This window comes from Homo sapiens, chromosome 15 (genome assembly GCF_000001405.40).
Source record: "Homo sapiens chromosome 15, GRCh38.p14 Primary Assembly".
Taxonomy (NCBI): Eukaryota; Metazoa; Chordata; class Mammalia; order Primates; family Hominidae; genus Homo; species Homo sapiens.
In genome coordinates this window covers 48,449,620-48,473,569 of record NC_000015.10, presented here as the reverse complement: position 1 = coordinate 48,473,569, position 23,950 = coordinate 48,449,620, and the positions used below count along the sequence as shown (strand labels likewise).

Here is a 23,950-nt window from a genome sequence, read left to right as displayed (position 1 = left end):
AAATTTTCTTTTTGGCTCTAATTAATAGCCATAGAATTAACATAAACTTCTATACACATGTAAACATACATGATTAGACTTGTCATTACATAAATTATACATATACTTACATGTGCATATATTTACAGACAGCACTTTTTATATCAGAGCTCTGGAGTTAAATAAAATAATAAGATCCATTAGCCATTAGGTCGCATAGCTGCTCCTATAACTTAAAACATTGATTTATCCTGAGCACTTTGTTCATAAAAAGTCATTTAAGCACAATAGAGGCTAAGGCTCATTAAGTGATTTACCTGGAATTTTTTTTTATTCCCTGAAAGTTTTATCTCAGATGAAATCATTTTTGCCTAACTTATTGATGTTTTGTCATCAAAAACCTCCCATCATTTTGAGAACATATTCAAATTCCATGTATTAGGCATGTGTGGTTTATGTGTTTGATATTTAAATGCCTGTGATTATTAAGAAAACTAGGTAGAGATTAAGCAGATGGAATTTTTCTTCTCCCTATGGTTGCCATTCTTTTGCACTTTTGGTGCCCATCTAAGCTAAGCCTGAAACTTGAGAAATAGACACAAACATGATGTGTCATTTCCTGTCATGGGTGTGCCCTCCATGCGGATGACCCTTCTTGAACAGGCCTTAGTTTGCATGATTCCTTCGGCTTATTCATTTTATATCATTCAGGGTAAATTATCATTCAGGATTCTGAATCAGCCACATGTAAATTTCATATTCAGTGTTAGCCTACCAAAGAGAAAAATAAATGACTTTAAATGTGTCAAATTGAAGTTATGCCAAAACATTGCTGCACTGGAAAGTTGATAGACCTGAGGAATTAGAAAGCCCCTAACCGAGGAAGAGTAACGTGTGTTTCTTTCTGGCTGTAGACCTTGATGAGTGCTCTGAGAACCTGAATCTCTGTGGCAATGGCCAGTGCCTCAATGCACCAGGAGGATACCGCTGTGAATGCGACATGGGCTTCGTGCCCAGTGCTGACGGGAAAGCCTGTGAAGGTAACTGATGGGGAAGCCACTGGGAGCCTTGCTGGGCTTGATGAGATTAGGTTATTTAAACATTCCTGATGCTTTTTTTTTTTTTTTTTTTTAAACTGAGGTGTGTTTTAGCTTCATTTCTAAGCTGGTCAGTTCAGTTTGTAGAGGGATTAGGTTTCCAGCTGACCATTTCTCTTGCTGCACAGAAAACCTCAGCTGACTGGCCACAAGCTGTACATCCAGCCTTGGCCGCATGGTCTGCAAGGGTGTATCCATTGGTCAATGAGGGTAACCAAGTGTGGTTAAATCAGTGCAACCCATTTATCCCTACGGAGGGGGATGCAACCTGTTAATCCCTACTGAGGGAGAAAAGAGCTGAAAGTGCAAGTTCCCTGATAATGTCCTGTTGTGGGATTATCACTAAATATGGAAACACAGGTTTTAATCTCCACTGTATTTGGTTTGTAGAAATAAAAGCAGAGCAAATAGTCTTGTCCATACGTAGAATGGTATGTCTCACATTTGCTCTAAATATCTAACATATATGAACATGGAACAGTTTTGCAAATCTGTTCAATAGGGGACCCTTGGGATACTGCCATATGGCATGGTATCGCTCAGCTTTAGGCTCTGTCATTCTGATAAGTGTTGGTCAGACACGAAGAGTCCTGGGAACCTGTTAGCTAAGGCTGGATCCCATTAGGGAACACAAGATTCTTCCCTTTACCCACATTTGTCAAATTTAAGCACATTCTCCTTCATTGAAAAGAAGATTTCAGTAGAAATAAACAAATGATAACGATTGTCAGTAGAAGTTTAAACAAGACCCTGATTAATGTATTAGTTAATAGTTGTTCCTTGTTAACAAGACGTGAACTCAAAATCAGTCATTAGCTATGACATGTATACTAATTCCCTCATGTATTTTTATGTGAATACTTTTCTTTGTTATGGAACCGTTGGGTGTTCTTTATACAGTTTATATTAAATATGCAGAGTTTGATATAAAACTCCTTGGAGTCAAGAAACCAGATTATGCTCTTGATCATGTGCCTAATACCTTGTTTACTTTTGTTACTCCAAATATCCAAGGAAAACAGGTACTGTGCCACCTCTGGTGACACAAATAGTCACAGTGAAAGTTTTGCTTCTCTTATTGCTATAAGAGAAGGTTTTGTTTGTTTGTTTGTTCTTAATATAAATCATGGCTGGTGGAGTGGTCATGGCTATTTAAAGCTAGTCTCAAGCCTGAAAATGTGACTGTGTGTCAACTGCACACGAAGAATGTTAACAGGAGGCAGAGACAGAGGCCTGGAAGAAGCGTGTGCGGTTTTCCAATCTCCGTCAACAAAGGCAAACACATGCCATAGGACTAGGGACACTGGAGATTATGCAACTAATTATGACAGTTCCCTGAAAGACATTGTGGCTTGTGAAATTTTAATTCACAACAAAAACAGTGACTACATAGATAGATTAAAAAAAAAAAACGAATTTAGCGTAAGGTGGCTTGCTTGCCTCTTACTTTACGAAAGTGATGTGGACCTACGTGGAACACTACAAATGAGATATGTATCTATAAAATGCTCAGCCCGCTGCTTGGCATGTAATAGAGACTGAGGAAAAGTAACCTCTCACCTACGAGACTTCACTGTGCATGGCAAATCATCTAAAAGTCTATAGGAGAAGTGCCCAGATTGGTGTTAGATACTCTGCATTTTCTTAGTATTTACATTAGTTGCCTAATTATATTTGGCAGGTTTTTTTTAGAAAAATATAAGTTAAGTTTTTTGCTTTTTTCTCCCTCCCCCCAAGATATTGATGAGTGCTCCCTTCCGAACATCTGTGTCTTTGGAACTTGCCACAACCTCCCTGGCCTGTTCCGCTGTGAGTGTGAGATAGGCTACGAACTGGACAGAAGCGGCGGGAACTGCACAGGTAAGACCTCCACTGGCATCAAAATCAGCTCCCTGGTGTCCCGGGGGACCCAGCTATTGGAGCCTCCCTGGGACTACACAAGGGCCGTCACAGAAGACAAGAAAAGCAAGGGGGAAGTATTAAGAATCACAGATACCTTTTCTCAGACCTGGAACTGATTGGAGGTGAGGATCCAGAGGAAAGAGTCTAAGACAATTGAAGGAGCACAGTTTGTAGCCTTGAAATTGAGTTTGTGGCTACAAAGGAATGTTCTAGGGGTGCTCTAGTGGTGTAGCTTCCCAGCCATTTCCTTTTCTACTTGGGTACATTTTTGGAGAGTTTCGTTTTGGAGGCCATGCCCCGGGATCATGGGTTTTCTCCTTGTACTTCGTTGTTGCAATACCCACCCCACTCCTTCCTACCCCTGCCCTGCTCGTGGTCACCAGAGTACTGGGTACACAGAGCTCAGCCACCTATCTCTAGTGTATAAATCATTTTCTTGTTGAGCCAAGGACTCTCAGGGAACATTAGAAAAAGCTTAGAAAAACTACAGGCACCCAGCAGACTGACACTCGGTTCTCTTTGGCACTAAGACTTTGAAAGCCATTTGCATTTCCCCTTCCTAATTCACCCCTCTGTTCAAGGATACTGAAGAAACAACTTATGTTCTGTATGAGTTCAAATTTCCGGAAAAAATCTGGTCTTTTCAACCACCTAAACAAACCATGACTCAGGGGCTCTCCAGATCATGACCACCACCACCACCCTGCAAATGCTCTGGATGGAGTATTCCTCTCCAGCCACACATTCTTCCCTTGGTTTTCCTTAAAGCTATTACGAGACCAGGCTGGGTCTCTTGCATGCCTCAGGAAGTCCCCCTCTCCATGGCCTGTACCCTGTCCTGCGTGCCCCAGATCACTATCAACATCATTCTGTCTAATCTCGTTTCTGTTACTCTGGCCCTGTCCGTCCAAATTCACATGCAATTTGAACAAAAAAATCATCTGCAGCGCAACCCGCAGGAGGGTTGCCAGATCCAAGGGGAGGACCAAGGCAAAGGTGTTGTCCCTCTTCTCCAGTCCCTCCTCACAGAAGCCGTTTGTCTATTCTTGAGTATTTCATGAGTGTTCAAAACAGACAAAAGGAATTGTACAGAGTGGAATTTGCCAAAACCCATGTCCTAAATATCTGGAATTCTGTACATATTTTTGGAATAGAAACTGAAAGGGAAATATTCAACTCAGCATGGATGATGGGAGAGACACTCCTTGCCGACCTCAGGGAACACACTAAGCCTCACGCGTGTGTGTCAGGGGAAGCAGCAAGAGTTGCCCTTCTGAGGGTTTCCTGGGACATCTTGCTCTAATTTGATGAAATAACAAGCCACATATACTCAATATATTTTCTTAAAACCTGTGTCTGAATTTTTGGTTGACCGAGGTCACAACAGTGTTTTGCCTTCAGTTACCTTGACTGGAATATTTTTCCTAGTGCCAAAGTTATATATATATATGTAATATATATTATATTTTATATATATATGTAATATATATTATATTTTATATATATATATATTTTTTTTTTTTTGAGACGGAGTCTCGCTCTGTCGCCCAGGCTGGAGTACAGTGGTACCATCTTGGCTCACTGCAAGCTCCGCCTCCCAGGTTCATGCCATTCTCCTGCCTCAGCCTCCCGAGTAGCTGGGACTACAGGCACCCACCACCACGCCTGGCTAATTTTTTGTATTTTTAGTAGAGATGAGGTTTCACTGTGTTAGCCAGGATGGTCTCGATCTCCTGACCTCGTGATCTGCCTGCCTCGGCCTCCCAAAGTGCTGGGATTACAGGCGTGAGCCACCGTGCCCGGCCCAAAGTTATATTTTATCCTGATGACAAATTTGAATGGTAAATGTGTTCTGGGGAAAGACCACCAAAGACTATATCATATTTCCTTCCTGAGGTGTTTTATCTCTGAAGTGGAAGACTGCATTTCTAGATGTAGTTATAACTAGTAGCTTTAAAATTCTTGTTTGGAGCTCTAGATTGGGCCCTGTTCTTTTATGGTGATGTCTGCCTACACTGGCTCAGGTGATAACTCCACTACTCACTGTTCGGTTTTAGATGTGAATGAATGCCTGGATCCAACCACGTGCATCAGTGGGAACTGTGTCAACACTCCAGGCAGCTATATCTGTGACTGCCCACCTGATTTTGAACTGAACCCAACTCGAGTTGGCTGTGTTGGTAAGACCTTAAAAACTTTTCAGAGAAGCAAGCATACTGTGTATTATTTTGAAAACAGCACCAAACATTCCATTCTCAAAGTTTGCAAAATGAATGATACAGAAATTTAAACATTTCCTAACTCTACTTTAGATTCAGATATCTTTTCCATAGGGAAAATTCTCGGTAGTGTATAATGTTCATGGGCACTTTTTAGTTTCTCAGTAAAAGTAAATTACGGTTTTTGAACAGTTCCTGAAGTGGGTTTGAATTTTCAACCCCAGTAGAAAGATTCTGCCTGATGCTTTTGTGTTTGTATATGGTAAATAGATACCCGCTCTGGAAATTGCTATTTGGATATTCGACCTCGAGGAGACAATGGAGATACAGCCTGCAGCAATGAAATTGGAGTTGGTGTTTCCAAAGCTTCCTGCTGCTGTTCTCTGGGTAAAGCCTGGGGTACTCCTTGTGAGATGTGTCCTGCTGTGAACACATGTAAGTGGACATCCTCCTATTTATTATTATTTCAACTCCAGCCAGTTCTCCTTTCTAGATCAGAAGACAAACCTTTTCTACTCTTAGATCAGAGAAGAAAGATCAGTCCTCTCAGCCCTGTAGAGGGGACCTTATTCCCAATTCGAGAGTCAGAAAATATTCCTGGTTGGCTCACACTAAAAGATCAGGTAGGGCAGGTAACATCTCACTTCTGTGTAAGTGAAAAGCAGATAGCATTACTTTAAAGATTTTCCAGACTAGGGTACTTTCACCATGTTGCTTACGTTCCAGGGACACATTGATTATCTCTCCTCTTCTCATCTATTGACTAGTTTGGAAGGCTGTACGCCAGACTCAGTGTCCCGGGGTTTGAAGAGAAGCAATTAGTTAAGCAACTATAAAATGGAAGATTATTCCATTGTTATGGGGTGGCTTGAAAGAAGGCTTTAGCATATGATTGTAAGGACATACAAACTATGTCTCCTAAAAATATAAAAGGGTTTTCGTTTTTCCAAGTGAGTCCTGTATTATGATTCAGAATTAGATGTAGCTTCTTTGGCAAAATTCAGTGGCTACTGCTTATAGCGTATGTTGGGATAGGTATGGATTCTTTTTTTGCTGAAGGGTCATTTATTCAATTCTTCTAAAAATATTTGTTGAGTACCTAGAATGTGTACTCTGGATGTGCAAAGATGAATTAGACTAGATCCTGCCCTTCAGGAGAATACAGCATAGTAGGCAAATTATGACCTAAACATAAGCGCTATAATTCAAAATAGGCCTCAGAAAGAGAAGAAAGAGCAGGCACAGTGCTGTGTTGGTACAAAGAGCACACCTGGTGCACATTAGGACTCCACTAGTTGTCACCCATGTAACCTTGGGCAAGTTCCTTAGCATTCATAAAATACCTCATAGGATTAAATGAAATCACTCATGCAGAGCACCCAGCACAGGGGTGAGTGCTCAGCTGGCTCCTCCTTCTCTCTTCTCTTCAGAAAGGGAGGTCAGTTCTGCTTGGGAGAGGGTGGGGACTTAGTGTGTTTTTTAATTGAGCCTTCAAGAAGGTTGTGACATGAAAGAAGAAATTCAAAAAGTATGGATGATTGCAGAAAGAGGAGAACAAGTAAAAGAGGAGGACTTTTCATTTCATTGGTGTCGAAGGGGGCAAACTAAGACACTTAATTTGGGGAGTCAGCTTTGTAGATTAATGACAGTAGCAAAACAATAGATATCCACACCACACCAGATCTGGACCAGAGTTAGAACTGGAATATATACATATAGGCATGTGTACATATAATTTCAGGGAGCCAGGACAGGGATTAGCAGATCTGGACAGACCATGACATTATGAAAGAACTGATCTTATAGCTCCTCACTGGGATGATGCAGCAGGTTACAGACATTCTTATTCACATGTCCTGTACATATCACCGTCCTGGTGCATACCACTGAAATAAATGTTTCTGGGTAAAATACTTGGATGAAAGAATTAATGGGGGAAACCCAAGGACACTATAGAAAGTTGTTTTTGGAAACCAAGAGAATCAATATTGCCACCCATAGAAACAGAGGTGCAAGAAATGTCTCTAGTCATTAAGGAGAGAATTGGGATGGGAATCAACAGAGAACAGCTTTTCCTAAGGCTCTATTTGGAAAGGGTTTTGGAAAGAAGCCAATTAAGATTATTAAGGGAAGCTGTAGTTCCCAGAAAGTAGGCTGAACAGAACATAAAAATGAAGATGAAGTTTTTCAGAAAATAAAAAGGGAAAGAAAATCTGTAAAAAGAAATAAGGGATGAAGGTAAGGTATAAAACAGTCCACACACATGTAAGACCAGGGAGTGGTTAGAGTTCAAGGACTGAGGACAGTGGCCTTGCACTGGGGACACATAATAAAAACCACTGGAAAATGGGAAGTGTACACAAAGGTGTTAACTTACTTCAGACGGGCAGAGTAACAACTAAAGATTCCTGAAAATGAACATTTTCAGTTGGATATGTGAGTATTTCTCTTGAGGATACTATTTCTAAAAACTTTAGATTCAAAACAACTCAATTTGAATTTTTGTTTCAATAGCCGAGTACAAAATTCTTTGTCCTGGAGGGGAAGGTTTCCGACCAAATCCTATCACCGTTATATTGGAAGGTAATTGTGTTTCCTTTGTCTTAAAGCACACACAACTTGAATTTCCTTGGGTTTATTTACAATGCTAAAGGAATGCCTTTGTTTTGATTTTGATAGATATTGATGAGTGCCAGGAGCTACCAGGGCTGTGCCAAGGAGGAAAATGTATCAACACCTTTGGGAGTTTCCAGTGCCGCTGTCCAACCGGCTACTACCTGAATGAAGATACACGAGTGTGTGATGGTAAATGGTCCTGGTAGGATGATAAGGTCTTGCAGATATCAAGAACTGACCTGCAAAACCAGAATATGGTTACTAGGAAAATAGAATTTAGCAGTGTAGCACAATGTTCTAAACACGAACATAGCCAGGTAGATATGTCTCACATGTGGCAATTTGGACTAATGTTACTCAAGTGATGTCATTTCTGGTAAGTCCTAAATCTCCCTCTTTTCCTGAGAAAAACAGAATCTTATTCTGCTGGACCATAGCCTCATTTATGCTTACAAAATATTTTTCCATGCTCTTCAGAAAAGCCATTTTTTACATGAATGGCACAGGTCCAATTTCAGTGTTCCTTCTCTATTTGGAGGAGTTCTGGGCCCTCTTCTTTTAATCCTTCACCACTTACCATTGGTGCTCATGTATTCAAATAAGCTTCTCCTAGAAGGCGGCCCTTTGGCTTTATGCTATGAGTGGTGGCCCTTGTTCATCCTGTGTTACTGGAAAGGTGGAGAATATTAACCACTTACAGGTTTCAGAGCACTTCAGCCATGAGCCATGGTTTTCATCTACATGGAGGAATCACACAATTGTTTAGGAAAGAGACCTCCTTGTGCTCTGCATAAGAAATATTCCCCTGGCTCTTTAATGGCTTATTAGGTCACCCAGACAATGGCAACCTTATTGAGTATTAGTTGAACATCACAGTGTATATGGCACAGCTCTAAGACCCATGGAGTTAACAAAGATTAGAATCAACTCCTTCATTTGGAAGTGGGGAGAGGATGTGAAATATGCTCCATGCTGCCTTACCAATGCAGATTCATGAAGCCAGCTGTTAATGGCTTCGGGATACTATATACCCTATCATAGATTTTGTGAGCATAAGAAGCGTACTTGTCTTCCTAAGGGATATTTGATATTTTAATTTCTCCACATTTCTATCTCTGCCTACCTTTGAGGATATTATAGGTTAATTTATTAGGAGACTCATTATTATATTTGATAATGCCTCATGTCAGAAGGCAAGAGTTCCTTTTCTTTTTTGTTTTTGTTTTTTGTTTGTTTGTTTCGAGACAGAGTCTTGCTCTGTTGCCCAGGCTGGAGTGCAATGGCATGATCTTGGCTCACTGCAACCTCTGCATGTAGAGTTCAAGCAATTCTCCTGCCTCAGCCTCCCGAGTAGAGTAGCTGGGACTACAGGTGTGCACCACCACGCCTGGCTAATTTTTGTATTTTTAGTAGAGATGGGGTTTCACCATGTTGGCCAGGCTAGTCTGGAACTCCTGACCTCAAGTGATCCACCCACCTTGGCCTCCCAAAATGCTGGGATTACAGGCATGAGCCGCCATGCCCAGCCAAGAGTTCCTTTTCTAAAACCCTCTTTCCTCAAAAGGCACACATTTACACAGAGAGAGGACACGGATGAATGAAATACCTATTTTCGTTATCTTATTTGAAAATACCCTATAGATTTTCTCCTCTAATGTCAACATTCATTAAGTATCAGGCCATTCCAAAATGTGAAGTTTTCATATTCACATACCACTTTCTCTTTGGATTATAGATGTGAATGAATGTGAGACTCCTGGAATCTGTGGTCCAGGGACATGTTACAACACCGTTGGCAACTACACCTGTATCTGTCCTCCAGACTACATGCAAGTGAATGGGGGAAATAATTGCATGGGTAAGTCCAAGCTTTTCTCAGTAATGCATGTTTGGTTCTCATCTACAAAGAGGAAGAGAGCTCACAAGTTCATCACCTTAGGGTGATGTTACTCATCAGACTGAGTGCTGGCATCCCTTCACTGTCTTGTTAGGAGACTCTTCCCCTATAAATCATAACTTGGCATTTTTTCACCACCACGGGTGGGTGGTTGGGAGTTTTCTCTAAAATGTATGTTGGAAAATCCCAAACAACAGTTAATAGTACTTCTTTTGTTTGACTTTTGGGTGTATCTTTGTACAATTATATTTACAGTGCTGACCTACAGTATTAAAACATCACGAGTCGGAAACGAGAAACTTATTGCCAAATGGCAGTAGGGAATTGTTACTAGGAGACTGGGCAGAGAGTCATTTAAAGTTTATTAATGCTACAGCTATATAATGACTTAGTTCTGTGGCATGAAATATCAGGGAATGTATTTCTCAAAGTCCTTTATCTTGTAGCAGCATAGGTAGCTAGAAAGTTGTGTAAGAGCAAGTTTTTTGTGTCCTTATCAAAGTCAAGCTACAATACAATTCAAATGAAACTTGCTTGTTGAGTATCCACTTAGAAATTTGTTGTGATTTCCCACATGGCATCACCAACCCTCCAATCCTTTTTTTTACCTCCCTTCTAGATATGAGAAGAAGTTTGTGCTACAGAAACTACTATGCTGACAACCAGACCTGTGATGGAGAATTGTTATTCAACATGACCAAGAAGATGTGCTGCTGTTCCTACAACATTGGCCGGGCGTGGAACAAGCCCTGTGAACAGTGTCCCATCCCAAGTACAGGTGAGTTTTAGTTTCTCCATTATCAAAAATATAGGTTGAAAAATTACCCATGAATTGTTGGGGAAATCAGTCTTAGCGAAGGAAGCAAAGTGTGCATTGTTTATCTTTACAGGGAAAAAAACGGCTCATGATTTAAATTCACAGTTGGTGCTGGTCATTCCAGCCGAACACTGAGTCACAGAATATGTTTTCTAATGTATACCCTAATACGTAACCAGACTTGTAGACTCAGCATATCACAAAAATATAAACTATAAACAATGTTCTCATTGTTACTGAATTCTTCATGTATCTAAAAGACTGTAAACATTAGACAAATCAATGTGACAGTAAGGGAAACATAATTCCTTGTCTTTTTACTTATTTAAAGCTAAACTTGTTCCAAAAATAGTTAAAGGCAGCCTACAAAGATGTAAATGTTAAACAAGAAATAAGCATAAGGCAAATGGCAAACAAGAATAAGAAAGAGCCAGGAGCAGGACTAATACACAAAATTCAAGCCGGGAATTCTACACACTTGCCTGAAATAAGCAATAATTTTAGCCCCAAACTTTCTAGCAGCTCCTATGAAAAGGGAGATGTGATCAAGTACAAAATTCTCAATGAGCATAAAGAAAACTCAAAATGAAAGGAAAGTGCAACTTTTCTTGATATTGAGATCGAGATAAATTTCTTCTTATATTCTCATGGAGAAAGAAACTAAATAATGTTATTTGTCTTAAAAAAAAAAGGCTAAATTGCATCCTTTGAATAAATAAAGACATTAGTGTACTGTTCTTATATCATATGGTATATGCTGTGCATTATGTATATGATGATGACATCATTTGCCAAGATTATGATTTGGGTTAGTTGAAATTATCATGCAAGGAATTGATTAGGGTATTCTATAAAGGGAATCCTACACCATTTTCCACAGTGATATATAAAATATTAAATCTGTTGTTTGGTACTACCTGACATTGCATGCAACAGAAAATTGTTTTTTAGTAAAATGTATTATTCCATCCATTGTTTACTCCAGAAATAATATAATAACCACCACTTAGAATTCTGATTTACCTCCACCCTGCAAAATGTTTCTAGACCAGGGCTTGGCAAAATACACCCCATGGGCCAAATCTGTCCCACCATCTACTTTTGAATGGCCTGCAAGCTAAGAAGGATTTCTACATTTTAAATGGTTGGAAAAAATCAGGAGAATCGTATTTCATAATATGAAAGTTACATGAACTTCAGATTTTGTTTCCCATAAATAAAACTTTTTTAGAGCTCACTAATTTATTTCCATATTGTCTACTACTGCTTTCATGGCAACATTAAATAGTTTTGACTGACTGTACAGCCTGCAAAGCCTAAGATATTTACTCTCTGTCCCTTTATTAAAAAGTTTGCTGACCCTTGATCTTGAATAATGGTCTTTACAACTTTAGGTGGTACTTACCTGTTGGTAAAAAATCTGAAGCTTATGCACACCTGGTGTGCATTTATATGTAAAAGTCTATGTATATATATCTATGTATGTGTATATGTATTTGTTTTCAATTATATTGAAAAATACATTTATTATTTTTCTGAGCTGTTCTAATATAAAGTGTACACAAAATTAATTTTTTTAAAGATTAGATTTTTCCAAAGATAGATAGAAGTCCTCGCATTTTCTTTTTTATCCTAATGGATTATTGCATATTCCTCTGGAGACCACTTTGGAAACCCTTAATGTAGACTAACATTTACTTTTAGAAATGATTGCCTGAGTTTTGAATATCTACATACTCTTGTGTAAAATGCAAGATTTCTTCTTGATGTTGGATATTCACCAAATTCAGTCATGGCTTTTCATTAGCTGTGAAATCTGCACATATTTTAAGAGTCCCTGTAATTTCTTTAGGTGACCAATGTCAGCTGGCGTTACAGTGTTGGAAGTGAACACTCATAGATTAAGGAGACAAAACACAAGGAGAATAACATGCTGTATTTTGATTAAAATACTTCCAGAAATCTTTTACTGATTTTCACTGAGCGTGACCAATAAGGCAATGGCCATCTGAAGCTTAGATTGATACCATACCTTACCAGTTACAGTCATGATCTGGAATCACAAAATCTCACAGTTAGAAGGGACTGCTGATAGAATTTAGTTCATCCTTTATTATCTGTTAAATTTGACTAATTCAAGTGAGAGAAAGACAGAGAGAGACAGAAAAGGAGAGAGGGAGAGGGAGAGAATATGACAGAGCTGTACCAAATGAAATCCAGCTCCAAAAACTGAAAAACTGGTGAAGGTTGGTTGATTGACCCAAATTAGTCATTAATAGATCTGATGTCAAGAATGTGGCTAGATTTGCTATGGTCTCCTATAATCTACCGAGAAAATGGCTTTTATACGTGTTCCTCAAACCCTAGATCTCTAAATGCAGAGTAGAGAGAGGCACTCTTACCAGTCCCTGAGTTCAGAGCTGAATAACATCCATATTGAAATCCAAACTCCTACAGGTAAACTCATGTGAATGAGTGGCATGTGATCTGGGGATCTCTACTTCTCCTTCATTATCACGTCAACATTAGGTCATTTTTTTCTTCAATATTTGTCTTACAGGCAAGATTATATCTGTAGGAATTTTCAGGTTTACTTTTTATTTTAAATTCTTCAAACTACAGACAAATACCTTTCAAGAATGCTTACAAAATAATTTTTTTCAGTCCAATTATTGTTCTTTGCTGACCCCTATCCTCCCATCCCACCTTTGTTTAATCATTGCAGATGAGTTTGCTACACTCTGTGGAAGTCAAAGGCCAGGCTTTGTCATCGACATTTATACCGGTTTACCCGTTGGTGAGTCATGACGGCATTGTCAGAACTTTCTGGTTTTTTGCCTTTGTGTTAGCATTATTTTTTCAGTTCCCATTTTTTTCTTAAAGGAAAAAAAATATTAAACAATGCCTTTCACTTTATTGAAACACTGATTCTTAGTTTGAAACAAACTGTGCAAACACCCTGTGCAGCTCCACCTAATTGGCAACAACATTTGTTGTTCATGATTAAGGGGATTGGAAAGCTTTTCCCAAAATTACAATCAAGCATAGTTACACCAACCTTAGGCATCAACATGGGGAGAGATTCTGGGAGTGGGGCCAGTTGACATTTGATTTAACTGTAATTCTCAATCCTTCCTTCTGACTAAGACCAGGTTAAGTGACTTCACACCAATCCTTACGTGTAGATTGTTTACATAAAGTCCTTTCGTGGATCAATTTTATCTTACATGGAATCTCCTCAGGTCATCTGCTTTGGGAATTTCAGATGTGAAATAAAAATCTTTTCGGTCTGAGGCCCTGCCTGGTAAATGAAGCAGAGAACACAACATTGGGAGAGATGCTTGTGCAAGAATCAGAAGTATTACACAGCACTCAGCCAGTGCAGGCAATGCCCTTGTGGTTTAAAACCAAATAACATAAAAGTAGATGGAAAGCTATTGCATTCTCTGAGTTTTTCCCTGGTGTGATTTATATGCATCCTTAGATGCCCTCTTAAGTCTGCACAGTTGTGTCTAGTAGCAAACATCACCACTTGCTTTATTCCACCTTATTCATAATAAGTAAACTAAAATCCACATCAGCCTTTCCAGTGACCTTGTTTAAGAAAACAAGAGTCTGGTCCAGCAATCAGCCTGGCTCCCTTAGTGCCAAATCCATATGGCTCCACAGTCTCGTCCACGTCCAAAGAAACTTCATGGTTTGGAAAGAAAAACTGCTAAATGACATTGGCATGGAACACCTGGCCCTAGCTGCTTTGTTTTTCCCCTTCCCAAAACAGATCTTTTAACCTCCCTAGAATCTGTGATCACAAGATAAGTGGTCTGTAATGGTAGTGGTTCTCCACGGACCAACCAGGCATGTACCCCAGCAAGGCTGCCCTCCAAGTTTGGCAGTAAGCAAAGACTAGAAAGAACATTAGCGTTGTCCACTAGGAGAGCTGGAAAGGCTTCAGACTTCATCTAGTCCAAATGCCTTGCTTCATATTTGAGGAGACAGAGGCCCAGAGAGGGGAAGGGACTCACCCAAGGCCACCCAGCTAATTAATAACAGAGCTGGGACCAGAACACAGTCCTGACTCATGGCTTAGTTTGCTTCTAGCTCTTGAAAACTGGACATCTGTTATTTAGCTATATGCTTATTGTTACCAAATTCCAGCATGACAAAATATTTAGATGACTGAAAAACTTTGTTTTATTTAAGCTTTATACTCTCCTTTTGGAAGATCTTATGATTGTTGGCATGTGGAGTCCATTCATATAGGGTTAAAACTATAGCATGTTTATCAATCTTGTCTTAAAATATAAACTTCACTAAGTTGAAGTTCAAATAAAATCCTGACAGGAAAAGAAAATATAATTTTTAATATATCCTTTTGCTATTTTATACCTAACAATGGCTGGAAATTAGACTCAGCCCGTTATTGTTAAACTTGATAATAATATATCACTTATATTTAAAACGAATGTGAATATGATGTTTCGTGTTCTAACCCACACTGAATGAATGGCATCTGAATTTGTTTTTTGTTTACTTATGATACACAGTTGTGATGTAACTTTATATGGCATTTTCATGACATGAATGACAAAGGTGTGAAAGATCTAAAGACATAATTGCGTGTATTCAAAATAGCAATGAACCCTTTGAGATTCTAAGCTGTTTCTTTTCATTAAATAGGTCAATTTTGCCTTCACACAAAATCAAGCCCTTTTTTAAAAAGGGTCTAAAATAAATCTATGACATCAAATTTCTCCTTTAAAACAGATTGGTTATAGAGTGTGGTTCTTCTAAAATTGCAGCAGCTCTTGTAGGCTCCACTTCAGTCCGTGATCATCTTCTCACAAGTATGCAAGCAAAGTATGTACCTTGCAAAGGCTCCTGACTATAATAAGTAAACAACGTATCTCAACAACAGTCATAGAAACTAGTGAATTGGAAGACTTTGGATTGTAGACCAAGGCTTTGCATACCTCCCAGCTGAGGTGTTTCATCAAACCCAGCCAAGGGGCTGATGGAAGGGCCCTCCAGGATAACAAAAGTGTTGATGACAGTTCTGTGAAGATTGTATTAGGGTGATGCAGGAAATCACCATAATACGATCTTCCCTTATATGATAAGGGAGGCAGGATGGCCTGTTAACTGAGTCCCAGTGTCAAATCCTGACTCTGCCTTTCATTGGCTGCTTGGTCTTGGGCAGGTTATATCCTGTGGCTTGGCCTCACTTGCTTCATCTCTTAGTTAGAATAGTCATAGTACCGAGACCATCTCATGGGGTGGCTGTGATAATTCAGCCAATAAATACAGGTTGAATGCTTGAGAAATGTACCAGTCATGCAGCAAATGAGATACTGTCACTATTAATACTATTACCATTATTACTACTATTACTACTCTTATCCTAGAGGGCACTTCAGTGGTCAGGAGTTCAGAGTGGGTAAGACAGAGATGGGACCACTCCAGGCTGGGGACATGGCCAAGCTGGTGAGGTGTCCAAAGTCTCTATCCATAGCTGGCCAGCCCTGCCTTAGCAGCCTGGATCCTGGCTGTGTTCTCACTCTTGGTCCTGTTTTAGTGCTCACCAACACACTGCCAGACACTTGCTCTTAACTGAACAAATTTGAATTGAGCACTTACTACCTGTCATGTAGAGTGCTAAGGAACCATAACACAGTGTTGGAGAGCCAAGCCCAACTCCCAGTCTTAGGAAGCACACATTCTACTGCGACAGTTCTTCCTTGGTGCTGACCTCGTTTTTATTGTCAGCCCCAGCCCAGCTGACATCCCCACACCTGACTTACCTCCTTTCTAAAGCCACATGAAGTAGGAAGGGGGAGTTAAACTGGAATTTGAAAGATCAGAGTTCCATATGACCATGTGCTCCTCTGTGGTTCTTTACCAGCTCACCTCTGCCTTTTTCCCTAAATATAGGCACACTTGGGTGGAGAGGCTGTTTACCCTTGACCATCCCTCTATTCTACTCATCTGGTGCATCCACAGTGCCCAGAGGATACAAAGATATCTCCTACCTGTACAAAATTGACATTCTGAAGCAAAACCCAGAACATATATTTAAATCCAGTTAGACTCATGTCTGGAAAGTGGTTTAGTTATCTCAATTTGCTATTCGTTGATGTCCCTATTGCCATCACCACCACCCCAACACATGCACGCACACACACACACACACACACACACACACGCACGCACTTTCCATCTTGTCTTACCCTGCACAGGGATCATGTGCTGTCCTGTCACTCATGAATGACTACTCTGTCTCTAGATATTGATGAGTGCCGGGAGATCCCAGGGGTCTGTGAAAATGGAGTGTGTATCAACATGGTTGGCAGCTTCCGATGTGAATGTCCAGTGGGATTCTTCTATAATGACAAGTTGTTGGTTTGTGAAGGTAAGTGGCATCATGACTTTATCATATCCAGAAAAGAGCTAACTGATGAGCTACTTGATACACACTTGGCGAATTTCACAACATTGAAATTTCAGAAATGCATTAAGCTCTAGAAATAGTAAAGGGCATGGTGTGGAACAACATGAAATTTCATGCAAAAAAAAAAAATTCACTAACTTCAGTGGAAAAACCAGGAGGCACATTCCCAGCCCCTTTCCCCCAACACACAGTGTGTTAATATTAGACTTCCCAGCTGATATGAAAAAGCTTTGAGTTCCTGGGTGTGTCACATAGATTGCTTTCGTTTCACATTGCTGGAAAATCAGTATGAGTGGACAGTCATCCTAGTTGACTCTCAAAATCATTTCTCTTCCAGACAGAGACTTTGCTACTCCCAAGTGAAAACAAGGTTAATGCAGATATTCCAAATGCATGAGAGAATTCCAAATGGCAAGAACAGCAAATTTGATTTTATATGAAGAATGTTGGCATGCACATGTACTTTTTTCATTTTCAAATTACCTCCTGTTGCCATGTATATGTACTGTGATTCGGAGCATTCCTTATAGCACTTCATATTTTTTCCTGCATCTGGGAAAGATAGTTCTCTTACATTTTAGTAAAAGGGACATTACTGGTTATTAAATATACCATGTGCCCAGGATAGTTGGAATAATTTTCTATTTAATACTTACACTTCAGGCCTCTAGCAGAATTTTTATTCATGTTAGAAAGGGTTATTACCCCTTAGAGCACGTATTATAGCACATATGTCAACATTTTAATGTTAAAAAAAAAACTTTTTTGTCTATACTGAAGACAACTTATATACCACAAGTAAAGTTATAGTCCTAACCACATACTTGTTAAGTTCCTGTCACCAGGCTTTCAGTTACTGTGTCCAAGTGGGCACATGTCCCTTACTCTGCCTGCTGTGTGAGTTAGTGGGAATGGGGTAATAGCCCTTCCGAGCCTTCCTAAGAAGATAGCCAGTTCAGACCTTGGCCCAAGTCCCTGGGCTCTGGGAAGCCATCAAGGATCAGGTACCTGGAGAGGAAGCATGGATGTGGGAGAGGGAACCCACGGCAGATGATCTTACAGTGCTAGAGTTGGCTGCCTCCCTCACAGCCGCACTTTTCCCCCTCTCAAACATGCTCAGCATGCCTGCCACCTGCCTGTGGCATTTTCCTCCCCACCCTTCCCCTCAGAGATGGCTTTGATGATGACTGTACCCAGGTACCTTTTAACCACTTATATTTGCTGAAGCTGCAGGCCTTGGCCAGAACCCATAGACAAGACCACCCATGACCACCAAGTCAACTTAGACCTTGCTAGATCCATGAGATTAAACACATGCAACTGTACCAATGCAAGGCATTTTGCTGTCAGGGTAGCATTCTGTGGATATTGAGATAACTAAGTGCTCCAACTTCTGATTTCCATTTCACAGAATATCCGTCTTCAGGGTGAATGTTTAATCCAGGGTCAGCTGCTTCCTAGCATACTCTTAGCTCTTAGAATAGGAAAATGAAGGTTGAGTGCATACATGCCTCAGCAATGCTGAAATTGGAATGGATTGTAGAGGTGATTTAGGGAGCTTCCACGCCTCTGCTCTTGCCAAGTAGCCACATTATCAGATGCCACATCATAGAAGTGCTTCTCTGTGACACTACTCAGTTTCTCCAGTGGCGCAATCTGCCCCCTGTGTTTCTATACATCCTGAATACAAAGCAGGGCAGACCTGGTGAGTGAGGTGGTGCTGGGTCCCTTGTAACCCAAGGCAGACACACTCCTGCTCCTGTGTCTGTTGCCCAGAGAGGCACAATCCACCTGCCTTAGACAGGAACCCCCACTGACTGACTGACAGTCCTGAGGGTTTTCCACCACAGAATCACGCCCAAGAGGCATCGGCTGATGTATTTGCCACCCCCTTGTAGGAACTTCTTTGGTCGAGCCAACTTCTGTGTAAAAGCCCAGAACTGGTACTAAGGGCCAACCTTCACCTGTGTTATAGGCCATCCCCTTTATTGGACTTAGTCTGTAAATTAGATTGTTCCACTGGAGCAGGGAAGAGGGAAACATGTATTTTGCCCCATGATATAGCATGGACATGTAGTAACTTTTGTGATGCCATGAATTTGAACTATATTAGTATCTGTTTTTTGTTGTTGTTGTTTGTTGTTGTTGTTTTGTTTTGTAGACAGACAACCCCCTAAGCAAAGTCAAAACTCTGGAACACACAATATCCATTATCCAAAATCTTTTCTGTTTTAATGAGAGTTGGTTTGTTTTCAGTAGTTTTATGATAACTCCCATGTTAGGTTTTCTTGATTTGATTGCCTTGTGGTAGTAATTTGAGCAGGTGTCTTTACAGCCCTGTACCTCAAAGCACTCTCTACAGACCAGGAGCACCTGCATCAGCTGGGAACTTATTAGAAATTCAGACTCTCAGGCCATTTTCCAGACATGCCAAGTCAGAATCTGCATTTTAGCAAGATCCCAAGTGATTCATGTGGACTTTAAGATTTGAGACATTCTGCTCTTGCAGCCTTTCAGACAATAGCAACCTTATTGAATCATAAAATCCAGATCTTTGAGTAAATACAAGGCTTCCTAGGATATTAATCTATACCCATGTCAAGTGCTGGCCCTAGCAGCCAAGTTTCATGACTTTTTTTTAGATGTGAGCATCATTAGAGTCCATATGTGGTCATAAATCAAGCCTTGCATTTATAAATATTACTAAGTGGGAAAGTTTAGATAATGGACTTTCGGTCTTCCTTTCTTTCTTTCTTTTTTTTTTAATAGACTTTATTTTCTAGTGCAGTTTTAGGTCCACAGCGATATTGAGAAGAAGGCACAAAGATTTATCATATATTCCCTACCCCTACACATGCACAGCCTCCCCCATCATCAGCATCCTCCATCAGAGTGGTGCATTTGTTACAATTGAATCTCCGTTGACATCATTATCACTCAGAGTCCACTCTGATGATTTACATTAGAGCTCGCTCTTGGTGTTGTACATTCTATGGGTTTGGAAAAATTTATAATGACATGTATCCACCATTCCATAACTATTCATAGAATAATCTCATTGCCCTAAAAATTCTCTGTGCTTTGCCTGTGTATCCCCTAATCTCCCCTAACCCCTGGCAACCACTGATTTTTTACTGTCTCCAGAGTTTTGCCTTTTCCAGAATGTTATATGGTTGGAATCATACATTATGTCGCCTTTCCAGATTGGCTTCTGATTCGCTTAGTAATATACATTTAATTTTCTTTTTTCTTCTTTTTCTTTTTCCTTTTTTTTTCCTTTTTTTTTGTGTGTGTTTTTTTTTTGTTTGTTTTATTTTTTGTTTGTTTGTTTGTTTGTTTTGGACTTGGAGTTTTGCACTTGTTGCCCAGGCTGGAATGCAATGGCATGATCTTGGCTCGCTGCTACCTCCATCTCCCAGGCTCAAACGGTTCTCCTGCCCCAGCTTCCCAAGTAGCTGGGATTGCAGGTGCCCGCCACCATGCCCAGCTAACTTTGTATTTTTAGTAGAGACGGGGTTTCACCATGTTGGTCAGGCTGGTCTCAAACTCCTGACCTCAGGTGATCCGCCCGCCTTAGCTTCCCAAAGTGCTAGGATTACAGGTGTGAGCAACCGCACCTGGCCATATTTAATTTTCTTCCATGTCTTTTCATGGCTTGATAGCTCATTTCTTTTTAGTGCTAAGTAACATTCCATTGTCTGAATGTACCACAGTTTATTTGTTAATTCACCTATCGAAGGACATCTTGGTTGCTTCCAAATTCTGGCAATAAATAAAGCTGCTGTACACATCTATGTTGTCTTTTCAATAGAACAGATCAAAATAAAATATAAATTTGTTTTCATGTGAGAGGCTTTGTTGACTGGACACCAGATTCTGTTCTCCTTCAAATTCAGTTCTCTTCTGCTCGTAGATATTGACGAGTGTCAGAACGGCCCAGTGTGCCAGCGCAACGCCGAATGCATCAACACTGCAGGCAGCTACCGCTGTGACTGTAAGCCCGGCTACCGCTTCACCTCCACAGGACAGTGCAATGGTATGTAGTGCCCCACAGGCTGGACATGCCTACCCAAGAGTTTGTCTTCATGAAGCTTCAGATATCTGGATTTATTTTCAGATAGTTAAGCTGAAGAATATATGAGTTAAGATTTAGATTGATGAACTCTAATATTAAACTAAATTGGAAAAAGGGATATTGTCAAAATATCTAAACACTTAGCTTTTTAATCCTCTTTCTGGATGAGATATTTTCAAAACAAGAAGTAAATCATTCGCATACATAGATTTCGTATTTGCCTGTCTGCTGCCCTGCCTGCAAACACTCACCCCCACACATTACACACACACACAATTATGCATACACACATTCCCCTAAGCAACATTTAGGACCAAATGATTTTTTTCCTTCCACAGAATCCCTCTCAGAAAGGTGAGGTTTTCACCATCTTGGCTGCATACCCCAAATCTAGACAGTGAAGCTCTCCTGAGCTGGGTCAGATTAATCTGCAGAAACAGAACAAACAAAGCCATCGCTTTTCTTCCCAGTCATCTTACAGGGAAAGGGTCACTCACTGAAGGCAGCAAACATCAACAGCCTTTATTAGCTATTTATTCCCATGACCCCTAGAGATTAGATTTTTTTGGTGTTCACTTTTGTCAGGGATGTGATAGAAATAGGAAGCACGTTGGCATGTTATCAACTTCAGTGTACGGTGAAGTTATTCAGTATCTGATGGTATCTTGTAGCCAGTGGTGTGAAAATTTAAAAGACTGCTGTTTCAGCCCAGAAACAAAATAATATCTCAGAATGATTTTCTTGTAAGTTTTTAAGTAATTCTGAATCTGTATATTTAGCAAAAATCACTGTATATTTAGCAAAGCAAATCATTGTATATTAGTCAGGAAGAATGTGTTATTTTGCTCACGGTTCATTTCACGGGGGGTTTCCTGGATATTTTATGCATTTGTGAATGAAACAACACAGGGGAACGTGGTCAGATTTTCCTTGGATTTCCTTGCCTACCAGTGATTAAGTGGTAGGAAGTGCACTGTTCTCTTTAGGGTATTTTGCATTGTTTTATGAGACCTTGGTGGGAAGAGGGTGTAATTGCCAAACAAAAAAATCGCATTGAGAATCAAGACTTGTTTTGTTGAGTTTAAAGGAAAATGTGTAAGTATTTAGCATTTTGTCAACAGAGCTGTTGCTATCCATGTATTAAAAATACAGGACAGGAAAAGCAGGGACGTCTCTGATATGAACCACAATACCCTAGAGAAACTTGGCATTGATACCACTTCCCTGCATTTTGCTCATAATTTATATTTCTTTAGAACTGGATGAAATAATTCCAGTCAAAATAAAGAATTGCTGATAATATAGAATGAGTCATTTCACACCATTTCACACTCAGGTAAGAAGTGGGACAGAGCTATTTATAGATCAAGATAAGACATTCAGCCATAGCCTGCTGGAGCTTAAGTCATTTACTGTTTTCTTGTAGGAGACTATCATACATAAAATGCAGCCAGCCATAAGTGTTGTGAGTGAGCATCATTTGCAGCCAAAAGCTTGATTTCCTTTATTCATTGAAATCCTCAGAAGAAAGGGAATTAACTTGAGTTTTGCAACCATTCAGCCTGTTGGGTTGAAGACCTCATTCTAGAAATGTCTTTATTTATGTCTTACTTTTAAAATATCTTTAAATGCTATTCTATACTTGGCATTTTTTTTTTCAGGCATGCTGCAAAGTACTCCTTTGTGCATCTGTTTAAAATGAAAATAACTAAAACTTTCTCTCCATCATGAGATCCTTATTTGAATTCATAAGCACATTATTTCAAATCCCAAATCACACCTGGCCATAGCACCCACATTATTGCTGAGAGAGCTGAGAGAATAATTAGATATCTGAGCTCAGGATGCTAGTCTGACAGCAGAAGCTGGATAGTTAGAACAAATGCAACCCCCTTCTGAAATGTCTTGCCCCACAAAAGACAAGGAACAGTTTCTTCCCAGCTACTTCCTTGTGGTTTCCTCTCTTTCTCTGTTGACTATTTGGGTTTCTTTCCACAGTAGCCTGTTCAGACCTCCTATCCCAACCTCAAATATGATCATCTAAGAGTTCAAATTCTGGTGCTTGTGGAAACCTAGATTTCTGCTCTAGTTTTACCAGTAGAACTCCAAAGTACTCCCCATGTTTCATTTTTCATTTATTTAAACCATCATGAAATAGGGCAGTAGATGAAAGGAAATTCCTAATTGGGGATCCCTTTCTAATAAGATCCTTAAGGCTCTCCATTTCCTTGTGGAACTCAGATATGAGACAGACCTCGTCCCCTGCATACCTCCAGGTCCAGTCCTACCTGAAGGTGCCAAAGTTTTGGGCCAACTATGGTAGGACCTGAGACACCCTTCCTCAAGATCGGAAATCAGTCTCCTCTGCCTATACTGGGAAGCAGTTGGCTCACTTTAAATTCATTTTCTCAAAAGGGAATAATCATAATTTGTTAAATAGCATTTCTGCATAGGCTAGTAGTAGTTCCTAAGCTGCTCTATTTCAATTTCCCCTCATAATGATATACTCCACTTCACTTGGAACTTCTAAATGGTATGATGATTCATCTACTAAATAGGAGATAACCATAACAGTGGCATCCCGGACACATGAAATGGAGGAGATGTCCATGATTCTGGCACAGGGAGGGTTGCTGTGTGCAGCAAAAAGTGTCCATTCATGATTACTGTGTTCTGAGTAGACATTGCAGGCAAACGGCAAGTCTGGATTATTTAACTAAGAGCGAAATGCCATCTGCCCTACAGCATCTGCAGCAAAGATGACACTCCATTTGCTTTCTTCTGTGACAGTAGGAAAATCAGAATGGCACAGTGCTCTTCAAAGTACATTTACTCTAAACATAGAGCTTTAAAAAATTAGAGACGTAAGTTGGCATATAATTATGTCATATGTGAATTCATGC

At 40.0% G+C, this 23,950-nt stretch overlaps 1 protein-coding gene across 2 annotated transcripts in view, besides 1 other annotated feature; it reads left to right on the top strand.

Moving 5' to 3' along the window:
* Positions 1-23,950, top strand: part of FBN1 (fibrillin 1) — a 237,397-nt gene that overhangs the window by 172,140 nt on the left and 41,307 nt on the right. For both annotated transcript variants that reach the window (NM_000138.5, NM_001406716.1), the window contains 11 exons: positions 894-1,019; positions 2,814-2,936; positions 5,036-5,158; positions 5,468-5,632; positions 7,712-7,780; positions 7,877-8,002; positions 9,549-9,671; positions 10,330-10,488; positions 13,253-13,324; positions 16,808-16,933; positions 20,886-21,008. In NM_000138.5, coding sequence (NP_000129.3) covers positions 894-1,019; positions 2,814-2,936; positions 5,036-5,158; positions 5,468-5,632; positions 7,712-7,780; positions 7,877-8,002; positions 9,549-9,671; positions 10,330-10,488; positions 13,253-13,324; positions 16,808-16,933; positions 20,886-21,008 — 1,335 coding nt within the window. The remainder of the gene's footprint in view (positions 1-893; positions 1,020-2,813; positions 2,937-5,035; positions 5,159-5,467; positions 5,633-7,711; positions 7,781-7,876; positions 8,003-9,548; positions 9,672-10,329; positions 10,489-13,252; positions 13,325-16,807; positions 16,934-20,885; positions 21,009-23,950) is intronic.
* Positions 2-1,201: an enhancer, noted in NCBI's record as "CDK7 strongly-dependent group 2 enhancer chr15:48764566-48765765 (GRCh37/hg19 assembly coordinates)". NCBI's record gives its function as "activates an origin of replication core promoter dependent on BRD2, BRD4, P300/CBP, MED14 and CDK7 cofactors, with strong dependence on CDK7, by STARR-seq in HCT116 cells {active_cell/tissue: HCT116}" and the evidence as "EXISTENCE:reporter gene assay evidence [ECO:0000049][PMID:35650434]".